The following is a 20,922-nucleotide window of genomic DNA, read 5'->3' as shown; positions in this document are numbered from 1 at the left end:
AAAAGTATATTATAAAAATAACATTTATTGAGTATTTAAAATGTACCATACCATTAAACACTTTGCCTCACATTAATCTTTACAACGACCCTAAGAGATAGGTGCCTTTATTATAATTACCATTTTATAGCTGAAGAAACTGTACCAGGAATAACTTGCCCCAGGTAACACTGCCAAAAGAAGCAGAACTGGCACTCAGACCCACCTGAGTTCGAAGCCTGTGACTTACTCTCTATACTTTGCCTTTGTCCCTGTTGACTTCAGTATCGAGAAAGAGTCCGGTAATTGGTGAAATGGGTAGATAATAGTACTTTACTGTCTAACCCAGGGGTGTTCAATCTTTCGGCTTTCCTGGGCCACATTGGAAGAAGAATTGTCTTGGGCTATACATAAAATACACTAGCACTAACGATAGCTGATGAGCTTTAAAAAAAAACTTGCAAAAAAAAAATCTCATAGTGTTGTAAGAAAGTTTACAAATTTTTGTTGGGCTGCATTCAAAGCTGTCCTGGGCTGCAGGTTAGTCAAGCTTGGACTAACCCAAAATAATTCTAAGACTCGGTTTTTAATATTTAGGGGTTTTTGTTTTGTTTTGTCTTTTTAAATCTCATGTCATTTAAGTCATTTTCCCATTTTATTGTGAGCTTCTGCTAGATCCACATTTGTTATTTTTTCCACTCTTGAGTTTGAATCTCACATTCTCAGAATCTAGTACATGAATATACATCTTGGTTCCCTTGCTCATTGTCACTTTAAAAAGTAGGGATGAAAATCTGTCCTCCTATAAAGTAAATATAGGTAGATAACAGTTTTAAGTTCTAGTTAATAGTCATTGTTTCTCAGCCATCCAATATGATGGAAGACTGTGTACTAAGTGGTGTAGGCTATGAGAAATTTAAGACAAGTTTACTATCCTTAAGGAGCATGTTACTAGGAAAGCATTAACACAAATGTAAATATTAAAAATATACAGGACAAAAACCTGTTTTAAGAAATAAGTGGGATAAACTTATACTGGTACTGAATCAGATTTTGAACTTTCTAAAAATGAATAACAATTATAAGTAGCTTCTATAAACATGCAGTAAGTTGATGTCAAATTCAAATACATTTTAACGATTAATCTAGTATTAAGTAAATTTGACTGCTATTTGTTTTTGATATAAGTATTATGGAGGTTTTATGCAGACTTTTTTTTTTTTGAGACGGAATCTGGCTCCGTCGCCCAGCTGGAGTACAGTGGCACAATCTCGGCTCACTGCAACCTCCGCCTCCCAGGTTCCAGCAATTCTCCTGCCTCAGCCTCCCAAGTAGTTGGGATTACAGGCATGCGCCACCACACCTGGCTAATTTTTATATTATTAGTAGAGACCATGTTGGCCAGGCTCATCTTGAACTCCTGACCTCAGGTGATCCACCCACCTCAGCCTCTCAAAGTCCTGGGATTACAGGTGTGAACCACCACGCCCGGCCTGAAGACTTTTAAAATGACCCAAAAAGTAACTGCATATAGAGAGAAAGAGAGACAGTTCTGTGGTTAGGATAATAAACTCAGCGTGAGACTGAATTGGTGGTGCTTTAAACCAGATTGTTACCCGCTGCAAAGCACAGTAAGATGAGGTATAGCATAGTGCAGTAGGCTTAACAATTTACTAAGCCATGAATGCATTTGGACTTATTTACAAAGTAAGAAAATAATATTCGGATATTCTGTGAAGTTTAGATATCTTGCTAACATAATTTTTTTCTTTTCTTTTTCTATGCCTCGCCAGGATAGATTGCCTTTTTTCATGATAAGAATGTTGTAATTTGCTTTGAGAAGTTCTCATATTGGTTCTTTTGTTAATTTATATCTCTGTAAGAGTTATTCTCTGTTCTTATCCATGCTTTTGTGTGCCTGGTAATGTTTATGTTTCTTTGCCAAAAAAACAACTTATTTAGAAAAAGAGATTGGGAGCTTACCAGAATACCCTGACTAAACAAACACACCAACCAACAATAAAGCACACCAGATCAAACTGCAAATCAAAAAAAAGGTTTTTTTTGCAGCCAGAAAATAGAAATTAAGATTTAATAAAAATGAGTTACTGAATGAAGAGAGAGCAAAGAAAAACTTTATAAATTTTCCAAACTCTTTCACTTCCCCAAAGCTAGGTCGAAATCTTTGGTATTTAGTATGCTCTGTTTTGAAAAATAGCACCACATTTTTTTTTCTAAAATAAGAGAAAAGGAAAGTGCTCTGTTTGAATACGTAATTAAATCATATTGTGTGGGTGTAAAAAATGTTTCTAAATATGGAGAAAGGTCCGTAAAAATAGAGAAATAGTATGGACCTTTGGTTAAATTTTCAGCCTTTTTCAATAAGAATGAAGTAAAATTTTAGTTGGTTTTCAGCCATGATTCTCATGTTGTAAAATTGTACACAATTTGTTTAAAATTGTTACTAATGATTTCAGTGTGAAAATGCCAAACATTTCAGAAATTAAATTTGTAGGAATGTCATAAAATTAATTATTTTTTTCTAGTTATTAGCCACCATGATTGGTGGATATTTTGGCTCCTAACAGAAAACCAGACTTTTTTTCTCATCATAGTGTACATTGGTACCATGTAAAATTAGATGCTTTCACATAAAAACCAACTAATAAGCAATTGTGTAGGAAAGATAACTATATAGAAGCATGGAGCTGCATAGTAAGGGACAAGCATTGATTGCCTGAATGAATTCCTCATCTATATCAGTGAAATTCTTCTTTGAAAATTAAAGCTTAAGATGTAGATACTATATAAGGGCTGGGAGCATTAGCTCAAGCCTGTAATCCCAATACGTTGGGAGGCCGAGGTGGGAGGATCGCTTGAGGCAGAAAGTTTTAGCCCAGTTTGGGCAACATAGCAAGACCTTGTCTGTATAAAGAATAAATTAGCCAGGCGCAGTGGCACGCTCTTACGGTCTTAGCTACTTGGGAGGCTGAAGTGAGAGGATTGCTTTTGCCCTGAAGTTCAAGGCTGCAGTGAGTTATGATTGTACCAGTGCTCTTCAGCCTAGCAACAGAGCAAGACCCTGTCTCAAATAAATATACGTATATATAAGATAGATATTGTGTAAATGCTAAATCTATCTCAGTACATAATAGTACATGTATTTATAAAATACATATAAGTTAATATCTAAGAAGTTCAATGAAAATATTTCCAAGTTCTAGTGTAATGTCTTCCAGTTATCCTTATGAATAGTATCATAGCAAACTTTTGTTAAAAATTAATATTAAAATTACTTTTCAATAGTCTTGGAGCAAATTATTGGGCATGCTTTTGAAGTAACCCTTTTTTAAAAAATGCCTTTGTCTCAACCTAAATTTAAAAATAGCAGTAGTATGTAAGATACTGATGGAGTAGGAGGAGTGATACACCCTGCTCCATAGCAGTTTGGTCAAATAAGGAGTTGCAGCAAGTATTCATATTATAATGTAGCACAGTGAACAATTTGAACAGCCATCATTTTTCAGGAAGAAGAGTGGGCAACTGTACAAGCTTCTTTTGAATACTTGTCAGCATGCTAATTATATATTTCTTAAGATGTGAACATTTAGGCTCTTTGAATTTTACTGTATTTGAAGACCTTGTTTCAGATCTGGTGCTATGTACTGCATATTTGCCAATGAGATAGAAAAATGTGGGTTTGAAGGTGAATAAGATGGTTAAATTATTAATGGAGTAATTGGGTGATTTCTCCTCAAATTTTGGTTTAGGATGTTTTAATTAATGAGTATCAAATCAAGCTTGGTGATTATTTAAAGGCCTCAAATGTGTTTACTCCAAATGGAAAGTTTATGTCTGTTAATTTCCCCCTCTTTTTTTCCAGTATTGCGGAATGCTGCAGCACTCCTTACTCTCTTTTGGGTTTGGTCTTCACGGTTTCTTTTGTTGCCTTGGGTGTTCTCACACTCTGCAAGTTTTACTTGCAGGGTTATCGAGCTTTCATGAATGATCCTGCCATGAATCGGTAAGTTCTTTCCTTGATTATATCTAGAAATGTAAATACTATAGATAACTTGAGGAAGTAATGATGAATTTCTTTGGCTGATGAATTTTAGAAGAAATGGAATTGGAGAGGTTTTTTTTGAATGGTTGCAACATTTGGGTTAAAATACTATGAAAAAATACATTTCCATGTTAAAGATGTATTTGTATTGTATGTATTAATACATTATGATGAATATTGGGCACCTTCCTTCCCTAGATTTCTTTAAGAGATTTTCAGAAGCGTGCTTTTTCCCATTTGAAGTTTAGCCCTGTTAAAATCTGATTTCTATACAGTATTTGATGTTAATATCTGGCTCATTTACAGAATCTGGTTGGAAAACTTCTATTTGTCTTAGAAGTTATTATTTTTGCCCTCATTGTGTGGTAAAGTAATAGCTATTATGCCTTTGCACATGTAGTGATATATATGACTATTTCATTAATGTTACAAAGTTAATATACTGATCAGGTTTTTAGTCTGGATTAAGTCAGAATAGATTTAAAAATATGTAACAAGAGTCTAAGCCTTTGGATTATTTTTCTCTTTGAATTAAATGAGATTCAGATTATTTTATGTTTTCTGAAAATGTATGCTTTTTTTAGGGGCATGACAGAAGGAGTAACGCTGTTAATCCTGGCAGTGCAGACTGGGCTGATAGAACTGCAGGTTGTTCATCGGGCATTCTTGCTCAGTATTATCCTTTTCATTGTCGTAGCTTCTATCCTACAGTCTATGTTAGAAATTGCAGATCCTATTGTTTTGGCACTGGGAGCATCTAGAGACAAGTAAGAAACCTCTTAATATTCTTTAAATTAACTCATGTAATATTCTTTACATGCATTTGTTGTCTAAATATTTAGGGAATATTTAGAGACAGAAAATGGATATGGGTAATTGGTATTAGCTTAGGTTAATTCAACAAGTTTATGTTTTTATTTTTCCTATATGAGATGTCTGACTTACTTGACTTTTGTTTTTTTCTCTCAAGATTTTTTAGTTAAAAATGACATCAAAGGCCATGTAATTATAAGTTAACTTTTTCTGCTTCAGATGAAGTTAATACTTTTTATATTTGTCCAATTTTAAAATTAAGAACATAGAGCATAAAATTTAGTCTAGCATAATAAATGTAACAAATAATATTTAATTTTATTCTGTGTAAATTAATTAAAGGAGAGAAAGCATTAAGTGAAATGCAAATGAAGGAGAGGAAAATAGAGGCTATCAGGTAATCATAAAATAGACATTTATGGAAAAACAGCCTCATTTGATGGAGTTTTAGACAATTTCAACTGACTGGATTATAAGGATTCTTGACAACTTATAGGACCAAATGAAATTAATAGTTGGATTCATGTACATCTTGCATTACAGTAAAATTTTAAACTCTCTATATTTTATTGATACATAGTAGTAGTATATATTTTTGAGGTTCGTGTGATATTTTGAGAGCTGTATACATTGTATAATGATTAAATCAGGATAATTGAGGTATCCAGAAATTTTTGTGAGGGATAAAAGCCAAACTATTATTTAGTTCCTTAAAGATACAGTCTTTTTATTGTAGTTGATACAAGGAAATTCTGTAAGGAATTTCTTAAAATTCGATGTCACTGTTTTTTTTCTAGTTCTCTATCTGCATTCTGATTATTGATTATAGAAATACATCTGAATTTATTGCTTCTTCGGTAGCCTTTTATAGTAAGGGAACAGCTAATCTCTTGGGAGGTAGAATTGTATCAGCTGATTTCTAAAACATTCCAAATTAACATTTTAATTATAGTACATCAGATTCATCTTTGTATCCCCATAACACACATTGCCAAACATTCTATATAATTTTCTCAAGTGGTAGGATGGCTGAAAAATCAATTTAAATAAGCTCAAACTATTAGACATGTTTCAGATCTTCTTAATCATCATAGTTGATGGTAGTTATTTCACATTTGTTTGTGAGGTTTAAGGTTTCTTGACTGAAGCATTTAAAATGTTGAACTCAAGGGTGAGCGCAATTAAATAGCCACTTAGTAGATCTGAAAAGTAGATTTCTTTGACCTAAGTACAATTAGTATTTTGTCATCTCTGTCAATGTCATCTGTTATTAATTACACTAATTAATTTAGTATATATTGATAAAACTAATATTTAGAAAAGAGAAAAAATATGTTGTTCCACTAGTATAAGAATCAGTGGATGGCAGTTGTGGGTCTTCCCAGGATACTGAACTATCCTCACTACTGGCTTTCTCCAAAATTAGATGCAGAGGAGATTTAGAGAAAAAGGAGCAAACTGAGAAGTGTTGTATGTGGGCCGGGGTACTTTGAATTGGTGTCTGTGTTATTCCTTGTGGCTGCGGCTGCATTAACCTGAGGCGGGAGAGGCTGCCCTCTTGGCTGTGGGAGGAAAAATAGACATGAACTATTCTATTCTGTTCTTCCCTCCCACCATTGCCTACAGTAATAAGAGACTAACCATCAGCTACATGCCAGTATGTTTTAAAACAAATGAAATAAAGTTAAGAGAAAAATTCCACTTACCACAACTGACTCAAGAACTAAAAAGTTGAATAGTTCTATAACAGTTAAAGAAATTAAAGCAGTTGGCAAACTTCTTGAGCCAGATGATATTACAGGCAAGTTCTACCAAATTCCAAAGAACAGTTATCCCTATTTTATTTATTTATTTATTTATTTATTTTTAGAGATGGAATCTCGCTATGTTGCCCAGGCTGGACTCGAACTCCTGGGCTCAAGCAGTCCTCCTGCCTCAGCCTTCTGTGGAGCTGGGACACATGTGCACACCACCACACTTGGCAGATTATTTAAAACAAATACTTTCAAACTATAAGAGGAATACCCCCCAAGTCCACTCTGTGAAGCCATCGTAATCCCAATATTGAAATAAACCAGACAATTTTTAAAGTATTTCACTCATGGCAGGAGATATTGCGAGGCATTTGTAATGTTGGCTTAAGGTAGACCAGTGGAATAGAGACCACAGACTGACCCACATATGGGTGGAACTCTGGTATATGACAGAAGTGGCATGCCAGATGAGTGGAGACAGGTGCTACTCTATAATGAAGCTAGAAAAACACTGGATTCCTATCTTGCATTATAAACAAAATAACTCCAGTATGTTAGGGACTTAAATGTCAAAAACAGAAGGTTAAAATTCCACTGAGATTAGTATATTTTTGAGTAGGAAAAGATTTCTTAAACTGACAGAACTGACTGTGGAAGACTGAGATTGACTATGACTATGAAAGAAAAGATTAATACATTTAATGATTAATATTAGAATTAATGGCAGTTTTTAAGTTAGAAATGGTCATTACAAACTGGAAGAAAATATTTCTAGTATGCACTCCTGATCAAGAATCGCTCCTACACATCAGTAAGAGAAAGGGACAAAAAACTTGATGAGGCATTTAGGAAAAGAGAAAAATGCAAACATGAAGAGAAGTTCAGCATCATTCATGATAAGGGAAATGTGAAGGCTACAGTGAGATACTGTTTTACATGCAATCAAAAGGAAGGAGATAGAAAGGGGAGGGAAAAAATCTGCCAATACCTATGATGGGGGAAGTTGCAGCTCCACAGGATATCCCATGGTACTGATGAGAGTGTAAAGTGGTGTAGTCACTTTGGAAGAGAGTTTGGCATGATCTCCTCATAGGTATATATTCAAAGACTCTTGCATGTGTACAGTAGGAGACATGTAGAAGAATGTTCGTAGAACAGTTCACCTCACCAGAATCCTGGGAACAACCCAGATGCCAATGCAACAAGAAAGTAGATGATAAAATGTGGTAATAGTCACAGTGCTATGTTAAAAATAGTGACCCACAAATCAGTATGAATGATCATAGCAGCACGAGGTAAAAAAGTAAATCCAAAAAGATGATAATGTAGGATATTATTATTTTTTTTTTTTTTTTTTTTTTTTTTTTTTTTTTTTTTTTTTTTTTTTTTTGAGACGGAGTCTCGCTCTGTCGCCCAGGCTGGAGTGCAGTGGCGGGATCTCGGCTCACTGCAAGCTCCGCCTCCCGGGTTCACGCCATTCTCCTGCCTCAGCCTCCCAAGTAGCTGGGACTACAGGCGCCCGCCACTACGCCCGGCTAATTTTTTTGTATTTTTAGTAGAGACGGGGTTTCACCGTTTTAGCCGGGATGGTCTCGATCTCCTGACCTCGTGATCCGCCCGCCTCGGCCTCCCAAAGTGCTGGGATTACAGGCGTGAGCCACCGCGCCCGGCCAGGATATTATTTTTATGTTAAAAACAAAATTTTAAAATTTGTAATACTTAGAAATACATATAGATAAAACCAAACTATAAAAAGGGAAGCAGGGAAGAGAATGAAGCACACAGGATTCAAGATAGTGGTTTCGTGGGGCAGAGGGGCGAGAACATGGTATATATAGGCAGGCCTGCCCCTGTCGTTAGATGTGGTTTATTCTCCAGGCCTTCACCTGTATGTGGGAAGTGGGTTCATAAATGCTTGTTACATTATTGACAATAGTTAATTAGATTACTGACTAAATAAAAGGAGGGACATGCACAGACAAATGATGACAGTACATCGTCAATCAAGGATTGTGATGAATTCAATTCAGTGTACTGGGAATTAAAAAAGGAAAGGAAAAGCGTCCTAATTCTCAAGTTAGAGGACAATTAAGAGATGATACTAATAGTTCATGAAACAACTTTTCTATTAATGAAATAATTGTTAAAGGGAAAATCTTCATAAATACGTCTTTGGAGTTGCTTGAACTGTAGGTAATTTCCACGTTTAGCTTAGGAGGATGTGTGAGTTAGTTTTAGCCATAGAAATAATTGGTTATTTTATCTGTAAATTTTATTGCAGTTTTTAACAAGGAATATTAGAACTATGGTCTACTTATTCAAATTATGTAGCAAATTTTCAAAAGGCAAACATTTTAGGAAATGGGTTGTCATTTTTATAGTACTTAACCTATTGCACGAGGTTTCAATGTAATTTTCCCTTATTTTTATATTTTATTTGAAATTTGCTTTTATTTAATTTTAACTATTTAGATAAGGACATATATGTGTGTCTATGTATATGTTTGTGTGTATATATCCACCTGTATTAAAATTAGGCATAAATGTAAAACTCTTGACATAACATTGTTGTATATACATTTCTGTGTGTGTGCTTAAATCTATGCATGTGTGTTTATAAATACGTACATATTTCATATAAATCATAGCTGGCTTGATTTTTAAAAAATATATTTAAGGTTTTAAGGCAGATTGCCCTATTAGATCTATAATTCATCATCTAACACAGTACAGCTACTGCCTTTCTTTAAAAAGTTAAAATTGCTGAATCTCAAAGCAAAGCTACTGACAAGTTTACATTTGTTCCTTAATTTCTGATTATTATTATTATTATTATTAGTTTTTGGCAAGAAAAAATGTAAAACACTTTCCAAAGTATGCAGCTTTAATTTTTACCATAATAATTAACTTTCTTCTCTGAATTACTGATTATAATAGGACCACACTGTATAGCATTTGACCTTGTGTGTGGTAACTTTTACTTCCTGACTATATTATAATTAAAGGTAGGAGAGATGATTTATGTTATTTGTGTCTCTTTGAGATGCTTTACTTGGATTTGAGAACATATCACAGATGTTGATGTTTAATTAAAACAGCTTAAATTTTTTTGTAGCCATGAGCTTTATTTCAATTGAAAGCCAAAGTTGTTTAGCTTGAACTAGCCTAAAGGGTTTAGAGAAATGGAGAGCATGATGGAGGAATTTCTAGTGGGACGTAAGAGTGCTTGTGTTTTGCTGAGAGGGCAGTTAGTTAATAAGCAGCTTGGTTTATGAGGAACAGATTTGACAAGCTTGGATGGAAAAATTAGGAGTGGAGGACCTCAAATGCCAGGCTCAAAAATTTAGAGACAGTGTTGAAAATATTACGATAGTAGAGCTTTAGGAGGATTAGTCTGGCTGGCAGTGTCCTGGATAGATCAGGGCTGGAGGAGGGAGGAAAACCAGGTAGTAGATCTTACAATACAGTTGCTCTCAGTCATGTCTCCCACTTACCCTGACCACAACAGATGTGAGGATGAGTATACCTGCTCATTGGAGAGTCATTCCTATTAGTCACACTGCACTCTCTGTAGCAGAGATTCTCATCACAAGTGGAAACAGTGGGAAGAGGGTGTCATAAGATTTGAAAAAGACCACAAATTATTCTAATACTCCCTCCCTGTCTTAACCAGGAAAAATTATTGAAATTGTTAAGGTTTAAGGCTACAAAAGCCTGAAATAATTTGAAATTGCTAGGAGTAGCAATTGAAAGCAAACTATTGAGGAACAAAAGAAAATCAGCTGTACTTTGCAATTGACTGAGTGTGGTGGCTTTGACATGCCAAGCCTGTGTGACTTGGTCTGAACTCTAGTACAGTGACTGGCATGGAGAAGGGTGTTCAGTGGGAATTTGTGAAATTTGATCATGGCACCAGAGATGTTAGCTGCTGATGTGAGTGGTTGTGCTACTAGGTGGCAGGCACTTAAAAAGAATAATTTTGTCTTTCTCCAGGAGCTTGTGGAAACACTTCCGTGCTGTAAGCCTTTGTTTATTTTTATTGGTATTCCCTGCTTATATGGCTTATATGATTTGCCAGTTTTTCCACATGGATTTTTGGCTTCTTATCATTATTTCCAGCAGCATTCTTACCTCTCTTCAGGTAAGCCTATGATTAATTAACTCTATATAATAACCAATTTTGTTATTTTTCCTCCCAGAGGAGGAATTAAATTTTTTCAAGATGAATGATTATAAGTGGACTATTCAGGTGATAACTTCTCTCTCTCTTTACTAGAACACATTACATTTATTTGAGCACAGGAGTTAGATGGCAGGTTATGAAAATATTACATAAACCGGCCGGGCGCGGTGGCTCACGCCTGTAATCCCAGCACTTTGGGAGGCCGAGGCGGGTGGATCATGAGGTCAGGAGATCGAGACCATCCTGGCTAACAAGGTGAAACCCCGTCTCTACTAAAAATACAAAAAATTAGCCGGGCGCGGTGGCGGGCGCCTGTAGTCCCAGCTACTCGGGAGGCTGAGGCAGGAGAATGGCGTAAACCCGGGAAGCGGAGCTTGCAGTGAGCCGAGATTGCGCCACTGCAGTCCGCAGTCCGGCCTGGGCGACAGAGCGAGACTCCGTCTCAAAAAAAAAAAAAAAAAAAAGAAAATATTACATAAACCTATTGATGTCACTGTATTTTTTATGAAGGTAATTAAGCCTTTCAGTTTCTCTTTTTCAAAATGGTATGATACAGAGGTGTCATATAAATCTTAAATTGACAAGTAACTAAAATATTAAAAGTTTTTAGAGCTTGTGTTAGAGCTTATTTGGAGTGTGTTTTTTAAATTCCACTCAAAAATACCAATAGTTCCACGATGTATATAAATATATATGTATATGATGTGTGTGTATTGCACACATACAGACATGATACATGTTTCACAGACATGCACACACAAAATATTGCCCTAGAAATGATAAGCTTATTGTAACTTAAAGGAAGATCTTTGCTACCTAGGTAAAGGAAAACATAACACAGTGAAGAGTTATTCATTATTTTTTTGCAGAAGTAAAACTTCTTTGCGAGTTGTAGAACAGGAATGACTATGGTATGAGGAAAATTAAGATGGAGTTGATGAGGTTTGGTGACCTAAGGAATAAGGGAAAAAGATGAATCAAAAAATTGATTACTCATCAGAATCATTTTAGGAAAGTCACGTCTGACGGTGTGGCTTTTTGTTTTCTATGCCTGGATTACTAAGATCACCCACATTTTAGTCATCAGTGTCTTCTCTTTAGAGTTGATTTTTTATTTATTAAAACTTTTTTTTCCCCTGGATACTCTTCTGTATATTTGAAATATTGCACCCTAAAAACATCAGGAATGTGTTATTGTTTAAAGCCTATGAAAAAAGTATCTTAGTGATCATATTTCAAGATACGTACATTTTTTTTTTTTTTTCAGGTTCTGGGAACACTTTTTATTTATGTCTTATTTATGGTTGAGGAATTCAGAAAAGAGCCAGTGGAAAACATGGATGATGTCATCTACTATGTGAATGGCACTTACCGCCTGCTGGAGTTTCTTGTGGCCCTCTGTGTGGTGGCCTATGGCGTCTCAGAGACCATCTTTGGAGAATGGACAGTGATGGGCTCAATGATCATCTTCATTCATTCCTACTATAACGTGTGGCTTCGGGCCCAGCTGGGGTGGAAGAGCTTTCTTCTCCGCAGGGATGCTGTGAATAAGATTAAATCGTTACCCATTGCTACGAAAGAGCAGCTTGAGAAACACAATGATATTTGTGCCATCTGTTATCAGGTAACTCCTTCAATAAGAATGTGTTTGGGTAAGTCATACAGTGTATCCCTTGGGACTGTAACCATATTAACCAAATTCAACTTAAATTTCTAGGCAAAATTATCTTCTGGATTAAAAAAAATGGACCTCAGAAATTATATTAAAGACCTGATAAAATATTTCCATTTTATTTCTAAATTAAGTTTTAAATTTAGTCCCTTGGGTTCTAATGTATTGTTGTTTTCAACATTATTGCTCACCCATAAATAAAGGAAAAACAGGTCAGGTGCATTTTATATTTACTCCTGAATACACACTCACACGGACTATTGAATATACTATCCATGAGGGGTCAGCAACTCCTGAAAAGTGGTGTGCCAAAATTCTGACTCTTTTCCCTCTAGTATTTCCAGAGTGGGGAAGAAATATTCATGTACCTAACATAGGTAGAGAGAATATGTGCCCACCTGTGGGTTGCTAAGTATCCGAGGGTACAAGCATTTGGTGGGAGTGGGTGAATATGGTAAAGGCTACCAAACTGATGTAAAATTGAAGTTGGCCTACCTATAGTCTTTAGCACATGCACCATAAAGAGCCTGATGATTGTCTTCTATTACAAATTAAAGGTAGTACTTAAATCACTTTGGAAATAAAACAACAACAAAAAGACCTAGAGTTTAATCATCAATCACCTGTGCAAGAGGCCGCACTGTTGGAAATAATGGACAGAGATGATGGCCAACAGCAGAAACTATGTCCCATTTTTAAAGTCACTCAAAGAGTGTAGGCTGGTAGAATAAAACTATAGATAGTGTCAACAATATACAGGGGATATTCTTACTTCAGGATTGCTTTTGTAGTTTAGGTGGGGTATGTATGTATTTGTGTATATTTAAATTTGTGCATATTTAATTTTTTTCTGATAGTAAAATACAGCTATCAATTTTTTATTTTGATTAGAACATACTTTTTGATCCTAGCTAAACAATGTTCTCCAGGCGGTTTTGCATTTGAGGGGTCTGAGGAGTAATGTAGGGTTCCTGCCTCCCTTCAAAGTAGCCATTCTCTTAGTTGTGTTTATTATTAAAATGAACCCTAGCTCTTTTGTGCTAGGTAGCCTCATTGTACTCAGGACAAAGCACATCAAAAACAGAGTCGGAGCACCTCAGCTTCAGCCGCTGATGTCTGAATATTCCATCTCGGGGATTCAAGAGTCCTGTTTGTATTTCCTGTTGTCACATCACTTTTTTTGAGGTGCTAGAACTACCTGTTGATATCACATCGAAAATGAGAGTAAAACTGCTTAGCTTCCCAGCTGGCTGCTTTTCCTTGGATGGCTTTCTGCTTAAAAGTTGACTCCCAGATGTTACCAGTTCTTGGCAAGGAATTTCTGGGATATCCACACCTGCTTGTTTTGGGACTTGAAACAAAATTAATGGTTGATTCACGAAACGTTATGTCTTTATAACTTTAACTTCATGTCTTCAGGCTTCTCTCTTCATATATATCTTATGCAAGGAATATTAATGCAAAGTACACCACTCCTTATTCCAGTGGTTATCAAATGTGAGTGTATAAAAGTCACACAGGTGGCTTGTAACTATAGATTTTATGAATCCCATCGTTACATATCCCACTTCAGTAGGTCTTGGGTGGCCCAAGACTATGTGTTAACAAGTGGTTCTTATGCAAGTTGAGAAACACTGGCTTATATAGACCAAATCTTGAAAACTGGGTATATACATTGTCCGTAATGAGAGAGTGCCACTTCCTTGCCAATACCCTGGTATTATATGGCCGATTTTGTCTCTTTGCCAATAATTTCATTATAAACTGTTCAGCTGTGTTGAAGCAAAACTGTAGAAAAAGTCCTGTCTTCATCAGATTTTCTGAGGTTGTAATTATACTCTTGTCATACCAGTGGAGACCCAGTAATCATACTGCAACAATTGTGTAACACTTGCATTTCATACTCAGGCAAAACCCAGTTATAAAGGTAGCTTCTTCCTCATTTTTGGTTTTTCCTTCACTTTTAGAAAGTACTTAGCCAGTAGTTCTTGCATTATTTGTATAAGGGGGATCTGTGATGGCAGCAGGATTATTACTGATATATAAAGTAAGTTTTATTCTAAGATCTATGTTACAAATTTTCTATTGTGGGAAAGAGATGTTAGAACCAGAACTTTGGGGATAGCACCAAAGATACTAGAAAACAGACATTTATAAGGTATCTTTTTTCCCCCTCTTTTAGGACATGAAATCTGCTGTGATCACGCCTTGCAGTCATTTTTTCCATGCAGGCTGTCTTAAGAAATGGCTGTATGTCCAGGAGACCTGCCCTCTGTGCCACTGCCATCTGAAAAACTCCTCCCAGCTTCCAGGATTAGGAACTGAGCCAGTTCTACAGCCTCATGCTGGAGCTGAGCAAAACGTCATGTTTCAGGAAGGTACTGAACCCCCAGGCCAGGAGCATACTCCAGGGACCAGGATACAGGAAGGTTCCAGGGACAATAATGAGTACATTGCCAGACGACCAGATAACCAGGAAGGGGCTTTTGACCCCAAAGAATATCCTCACAGTGCGAAAGATGAAGCACATCCTGTTGAATCAGCCTAGAGGAGAAGCAGCAGGAATGATGCTTTGATACTCTGGAGGAGAAGTTAACTCAAGATGGAATTCATGTTCTGATTTGAGGAATGAAAATGAGATGATCAGGCAGGAAACTGACATTCCAAGGATCTAATCCAGGAAGTACTCTCAGTGGGGACCACCTGCTTTCATCCCCTGACATTGTGGGAGAAATTTTGCAATGTATGCTAATCAAAATGTATTTATATGTTCTCTGCTGATGTTTTATAGAGGTTTGTGAAGAAAATTCAACCTCAGCAACTTCAGAAACTGCCCCTGATACGTGTGAGAGAGAAATAAAATCAGATTTTGAGTGTTGAAGGGACTGAGGAAGTGAGGATAAAGAGCATGAGGACAGCATGGAAAGAAGGAGGCAGAAGTGGAACTGAACTTTCACTCTCCATGGGACAGATCAATCTCATTATCAAGTCTGAATAGCAACCAGCCCTCTCCTCCACCCCGTTTCTCCTCAGTTAATTGGAGCTCAGTCAGGTGATTATTGAGTCTTGTACAGCACTGAAATGAAATCAAAGATGAAGAAGCATTGATTGTATTCAAAGATTGAAGCACGCTCATACTTTGTATGTGCTTTAGGGAAGGGGTGGGTGGGCACTTGGGCCTTGCGGGTGCATTCATGTAATCTGAGACTCTTGAACTTTATGACGGAGTCTTCAGTATTTTGATGTATATGAAACTTTTGTTAAATATGTTGTATACTTCGCTGGCTGTGTGAAGTAAACTAAAACTCTGATGAACACTTTGGAGTCTGCTTTAGTGAAGGAGACCAAAGTGGGAAGGGCTTTAGGGCACTGATAGAGGCCCTGGGTGTACTTTTCAATCCTGTGTAATGTTTAATTCTTGCAACTGAATCAAAACAGTGTTAAATTATGGCAATATTTGCACTTTGGGAATGAGTACATAACTGTATGATCACACTCTGCAAATGCCACTTTTAAAGCTGTTAATAGACTTTGCACCTTTTCTTTGACAAGGATGTGTCATATTTAAATTTTTACATTCATCATGGCTACAGGTAGAACTGGGGAGGGGGGAATGTAATTTTTTATGGGAATTTTGATATGAAAAGAAACTAGTCATTTATTTATACAATAGGCTTGGCTCAAAAAGTGTTTTTCAGACCTCGGTATTCCTAATGTGGGATGTGACTTTATTTTATTTTTAGTAGCAAATTTGGATGTAGACTGACAGACATAGCTGAATGTCTTAATAAATTTAAATTTGAAGATAATTATGTTTTGTTCTTGTGGTTTGTTGTCATTATAAAGTGCTTTTTTTGAAGTTCTGTTCTTAGGAGGTTCTGTTTTTAATTTAGTTGGACTTACATGTTGATCCTTGTCAGAAATGCCCTGTAGATGGCAAAACTCTTTGATTGAAAAGGACCATTTCTTTTGAAATCTTCTACACCCAGTGTTAGCAAACTTACCTGTGCTTCAGAAGTGTTTGGGAAGCTTTTTATTTTAAAAAAGTACACATTTCTGAACCTTACTTCTGATTCAGATTGAATCAGCCTTTTGGGGTGCCTGAGCATTTCAGAGCTTCTATCCAGCTAGCCTAGCACTAAGGCAGTATGACTTGTTGGCGGGGGGAAAGTATCTAGGCTAGAATTCATTTCTCCCCAGGTGTAGCTGGAAGTTTATCATCTTTTTGGTGCTCCGTGTTAGGCAGAAGACAAAGCAGATAGCTCCCTCTAGTGGTAGGAAGGCTGCTTATCCAAAGACCTAGCAGTAATGATCTGGGATTTTAATAAAAGTAGAGTTCTTTGGAATTACTTTCCACATTATAATACACTTTTTACTTCTTAATAGCAAATAGATCCCAGCTGTACATGCCAAATCAGATGAGTGTGTTAGTAGCCTTTTGGACAAATGTCACTGTGTGTCAGGAGGAATATATTATGTGGTTGTAACAGAAAACCTCAAAATTATAGTGGCTTTAAAACCACAAAGATTTATGTCATGCACGTACATTACAAGGATATCCTGTTTGGTGCAGACACTATCCTGTTTGGTGCAGACACTATTGAACTTTCTGGATGGTCATGCCAAAGGGAAGACTGCAAGGCTGTACACCAGCAATTACACGTTCCTCCCTGGTATGGACATGTCACTTCCACTCACTCCCTTGGCCGGAACTACTGATATGGCCCCACCAGCCACAACAGCACAGAAGTTGTCTTCCACGTCCTAGAAAGAGAGCATATCAGTGACCAGCACTCTGGTGGAGCAACTTCATTTTACAGATTATTTGAAATTTGGGAGCACACCTGTGAATGGTTCCAAATATACCTCTGACTTAATTTGTTATTTGTCCTTACATACTGGACAGTAGCATTGTATAATGCCATCCGTATTCAAAATCTAGCCATTTTGTAATAGCTTCCAACTCACTGCAGAGTTTTTGACTTAGGAAGAAGACAAAGTTTAACCACCTGGTTTGTTCTACTGAAGAGAAGATGAGAAAATTAGATTCAGTTCCTCTTCTATTATGCTTGATCAAATTGAGAGAATCATCAGTTCCCTTATGAGTCCTTTTTAGGTCACTTTTCTTGTCTACTTAATGGTTTCCAGTGTTTTCAGACAGTGCATACCTATTTTCACGCATCAATATTCCCTTAAAAACTTTGTAATAAGGTCTGTCACCTTATGCACTTTGCCATCAAAATTAGTACTGTGACAATCCTTTATCAGTCCTCTTGGATTTAGGGAAATGGACAGCACAGAGGGATAAAAGGGGCTTGCACTAAGGGCAGGAGCTCTGGATTATAATTCTAAGTCCTCTGTGATCTTTGATTAGCCTTTGTTTTTCTGGGCATCAGCCTCATCTGAAAAAAAATCATCACTGAAGTGTCATTCTGTTTCAGGTTTTGCCCATCTGTATTTTTAATCCTCACCACTGACTGAGTAATGAGCTTCATATTTTTGAACAGTTTTAAACTAGAGACAGATGCTTCATTTTTTTTTTTAATATGCTGTGCTACATATTAAACTTACCTAAGATTCGGTTCACCACTGTGTTCCCAGTGTCTGGTATAGGGCAGGAGCACTCTAAATATCTACAGAATGAACAAAGGAACTTAGCAGGTGGCTCCTCATATCCACCCTGTAGTTTAAAAATGGCAGAGAATTCTATTCTTTCCAGAGGCAGAGAGCATAATATTGCATGGCAACTAAATGAAGTAATTTCTGTGAGTGGGTTTTGATCGTCTTAACTGATCAGATCCTGAACTCAGTTTCTAGAGCAGAAATTACAAATTTGGGGCCTTCTGGGGGAAATCTGGGCTGATAAATTTTGCTTTGTTGTTAGGCCTCAGTGATAGATTTATTTTATTTTATTTATTTTTTTGAGATGGAGTCTTGCTCTGTCACCCAGGCTGGAGTGCAATGTCACAATCTCAGCTCACTGCAACCTCCGTTTCCCGGGTTCAAGTGATTCTCCTGCCTCAGTCTCCCGAGTAGCTGGGATTACAGACATGTGCCACCACACCTAGCTAATTTTTGTATTTTAATAGAGACAGAGTTTCACCAGGTTGGCCAGACTGGTCTCGAACTCCTGGCCTCAAGTGATCCACCCGCCTCGGCTTCCCAAAGTGTTGGAATTACAGGCATGAGCCACCATGCCCAGCCTCAATGGTACATTTTTAAATGATATTTTAAAAAATATTTGAATCAGTTGCCAACCATTTAAAAATTGCAAGATTGTATATGACAAACTCAATTTCTATTTTCTTGTGAAAAATTGGAAGTGCTGGCTGCATAGGCCACTCATCCTTGCTTGGCAACAGTCCGCATAAGCTGGGATGGGCTGAGTTTCTAATTCACCCCTGTCGTCTCCACCACAGCTTGCTCTAGCAAATTAGATTGCTGTCATCAGACTCTTCCGTTTGCTTAGAGGATGCCGTAAGTGAACACTGGGCAAATTCGACATCTCATTTAATCACAGTCAAATCCTATATGAATATGTATAGTGCAGATATTCGGTATTGATTAAAGTGAAAAGATTAAAAACCAGAAGCAATGTGTATAAATTTGACATTCATTTATGGAAGTATAGAACCTGTTTGTTTTTCTTTAATGACCGGAGTGCAGTAAAAGAAAAAAAAAATCAATGAGCAAGTGTTTTATTTGAAGATATTTTCAATTTGGATCTATGCTAGAATTTTGCATTTTGGTATCACCAAGTTGTTCCATGAGCAGTGTTTCTCAACCTTTGATGGGCGTTGGAAGCAGGTTGGGAAGCTTGTGAAAAATACAATGCCGGCCGGGCACAGTGCCTCACGCCTGTAATCCTAGCACTTAGGGAGGCTGAGGCGGGTGGATCACCTGAGGTCAGGAGTTCAAGACCAGCCTGACCAACATGGTGAAACCCCGTCTCTAGTAAAAATACAAAAATTAGCCAGGTGTGGTGGCACATGCTTATAATCCCAGCTGCTTGGGAGGCTGAGGCAGGAGAATCACTTGAACCTGGGAGGTGGAGGTTGCAGTGAGCCAAGATCGTGCCACTGCACTCCAGCCTGGGCAACAGAGTTGAGACTCCATCTCAAAAAAAAAAAAAAAGAAAAATACGATGCCTAGACCCAGTGCCATAGATTCTGACTGGGTAGGTTTGGGATGGAGCCTGGTATCTTACCTTTTCCAATTTTTCAGATGATTCTGATTCTATGGAAATGTGAGTACCTTTCATTTAAATATTCCTGCTATTTCAGTGAGAGGGGGCTGCTTGTTCTTGGATCTACCATTTTTATGGAAGAAGATTCTTAGAGAAGAAATACACATGAGGTTTGCCTCTGGGAAACATTGGTGGTTAAGGATTTCAGCAAACATTACAACCGATGGGGTTTCTGCAGTGAAGCAGCAAAGCCTGGCCGACACATTATGCAGGTGTGCATGTGCCATCTGGCCTAATCTACCAACCTTTTTTGGTTGGTTGACCACCCAAAAGTGTCTCAAGCTATTTATATTTGAAGGTAAAATGCTGTTAGCACCCCCTCCACCTCCTCTTTCCCAAGCATATGGAATTAAAGAATCACAGAATTTTGGAAGCAAACCAGCCTTCAGAGATCTAGATCAGTGGTCCTACTTTACAAGAGAGCCAATTATCGATGTGTCCAAGGCCACACAATTGATGGCAAAGCGGGGAAGGGTGCTCAGGTCTCCTGAATCCAGTCCAATGCTCTTTCCGTTACACCTTCTCACCTCAAAAAGATCCAAACACCCATGTGTATTTTGCTGCATTCAATAAAACTTATATTAACTTTAAAGATGTTACACGAGAGATGTGAAAATCTGAAACAATTTCTGAGATATTATAATATTTAAAATTATCAATTTGAGATCAAACGTCTGGCAAATTATGTAAAAAGGGAAAACAAACAGTAAAAAAATATGGGATGTAGAATAAATCTTAGTATATGGCAAGCCACAACCCATCAAGATTTGGAGTTGGAAACTGTTGGCTACAAAATACCAACATTTAATATTAAATACGTACCATTTAATATAAAAATGCCTTCTGCATATTAGTTAAAGCCACAGATCTGTGCAGACTGTGTAATCACACTATTTGCAGGAACAGATGGGCTGTGTTTAAAATAGGAGTCAAGCCTTAGTTTAGAGAATTTTAAAATATAAAACTGCTTCCTTCCCAAGATAAGTATTAAATCGTCCTAAGAAACACATGTGAGGGATAGATAGACATAAACATTGTAAATTCCCATTTTTTTTCTCTAGTTGATTAGAAAATCTTTTCTGAAGTCATCTTCCCAAAATTACCTTGAAACTCATCCCCTACCCCTAAAAAGAAAGCCCAAGTTTTAAGGGGGCCATTATGTTTATTTTTGTAATTATGAGCTACATTGTGCAACTCAAACGAATAAACTTG

General features: G+C 37.0%; 1 protein-coding gene across 7 annotated transcripts in view, besides 2 other annotated features; it reads left to right on the top strand.

The window, feature by feature from the left end:
• The window catches only part of RNF145 (ring finger protein 145), a 52,645-nt gene extending 36,372 nt beyond the window's left edge, over window positions 1-16,273 (top strand). For all 7 annotated transcript variants that reach the window (NM_001199380.2, NM_001199383.2, XM_017009138.3 and 4 more), the window contains exons 7-11: window positions 3,863-4,003; window positions 4,627-4,809; window positions 10,603-10,750; window positions 12,060-12,416; window positions 14,647-16,273. In NM_001199380.2, the coding sequence (NP_001186309.1) occupies window positions 3,863-4,003; window positions 4,627-4,809; window positions 10,603-10,750; window positions 12,060-12,416; window positions 14,647-15,012 (1,195 nt within the window). In that variant the 3' untranslated portion in view covers window positions 15,013-16,273. The remainder of the gene's footprint in view (window positions 1-3,862; window positions 4,004-4,626; window positions 4,810-10,602; window positions 10,751-12,059; window positions 12,417-14,646) is intronic.
• Window positions 11,351-12,550: an enhancer, noted in NCBI's record as "CDK7 strongly-dependent group 2 enhancer chr5:158588140-158589339 (GRCh37/hg19 assembly coordinates)". NCBI's record gives its function as "activates an origin of replication core promoter dependent on BRD2, BRD4, P300/CBP, MED14 and CDK7 cofactors, with strong dependence on CDK7, by STARR-seq in HCT116 cells {active_cell/tissue: HCT116}" and the evidence as "EXISTENCE:reporter gene assay evidence [ECO:0000049][PMID:35650434]".
• Window positions 16,466-16,595: an enhancer, noted in NCBI's record as "active region_23540". NCBI's record gives its function as "activates an Ori minimal core promoter by ATAC-STARR-seq in GM12878 lymphoblastoid cells {active_cell/tissue: GM12878}" and the evidence as "EXISTENCE:reporter gene assay evidence [ECO:0000049][PMID:35858748]".

The sequence above is a fragment of the Homo sapiens genome, chromosome 5 (assembly GCF_000001405.40).
Source record: "Homo sapiens chromosome 5, GRCh38.p14 Primary Assembly".
Lineage (NCBI taxonomy): Eukaryota > Metazoa > Chordata > Mammalia > Primates > Hominidae > Homo > Homo sapiens.
This window is presented reverse-complemented; position numbering and strand designations above follow the sequence as displayed.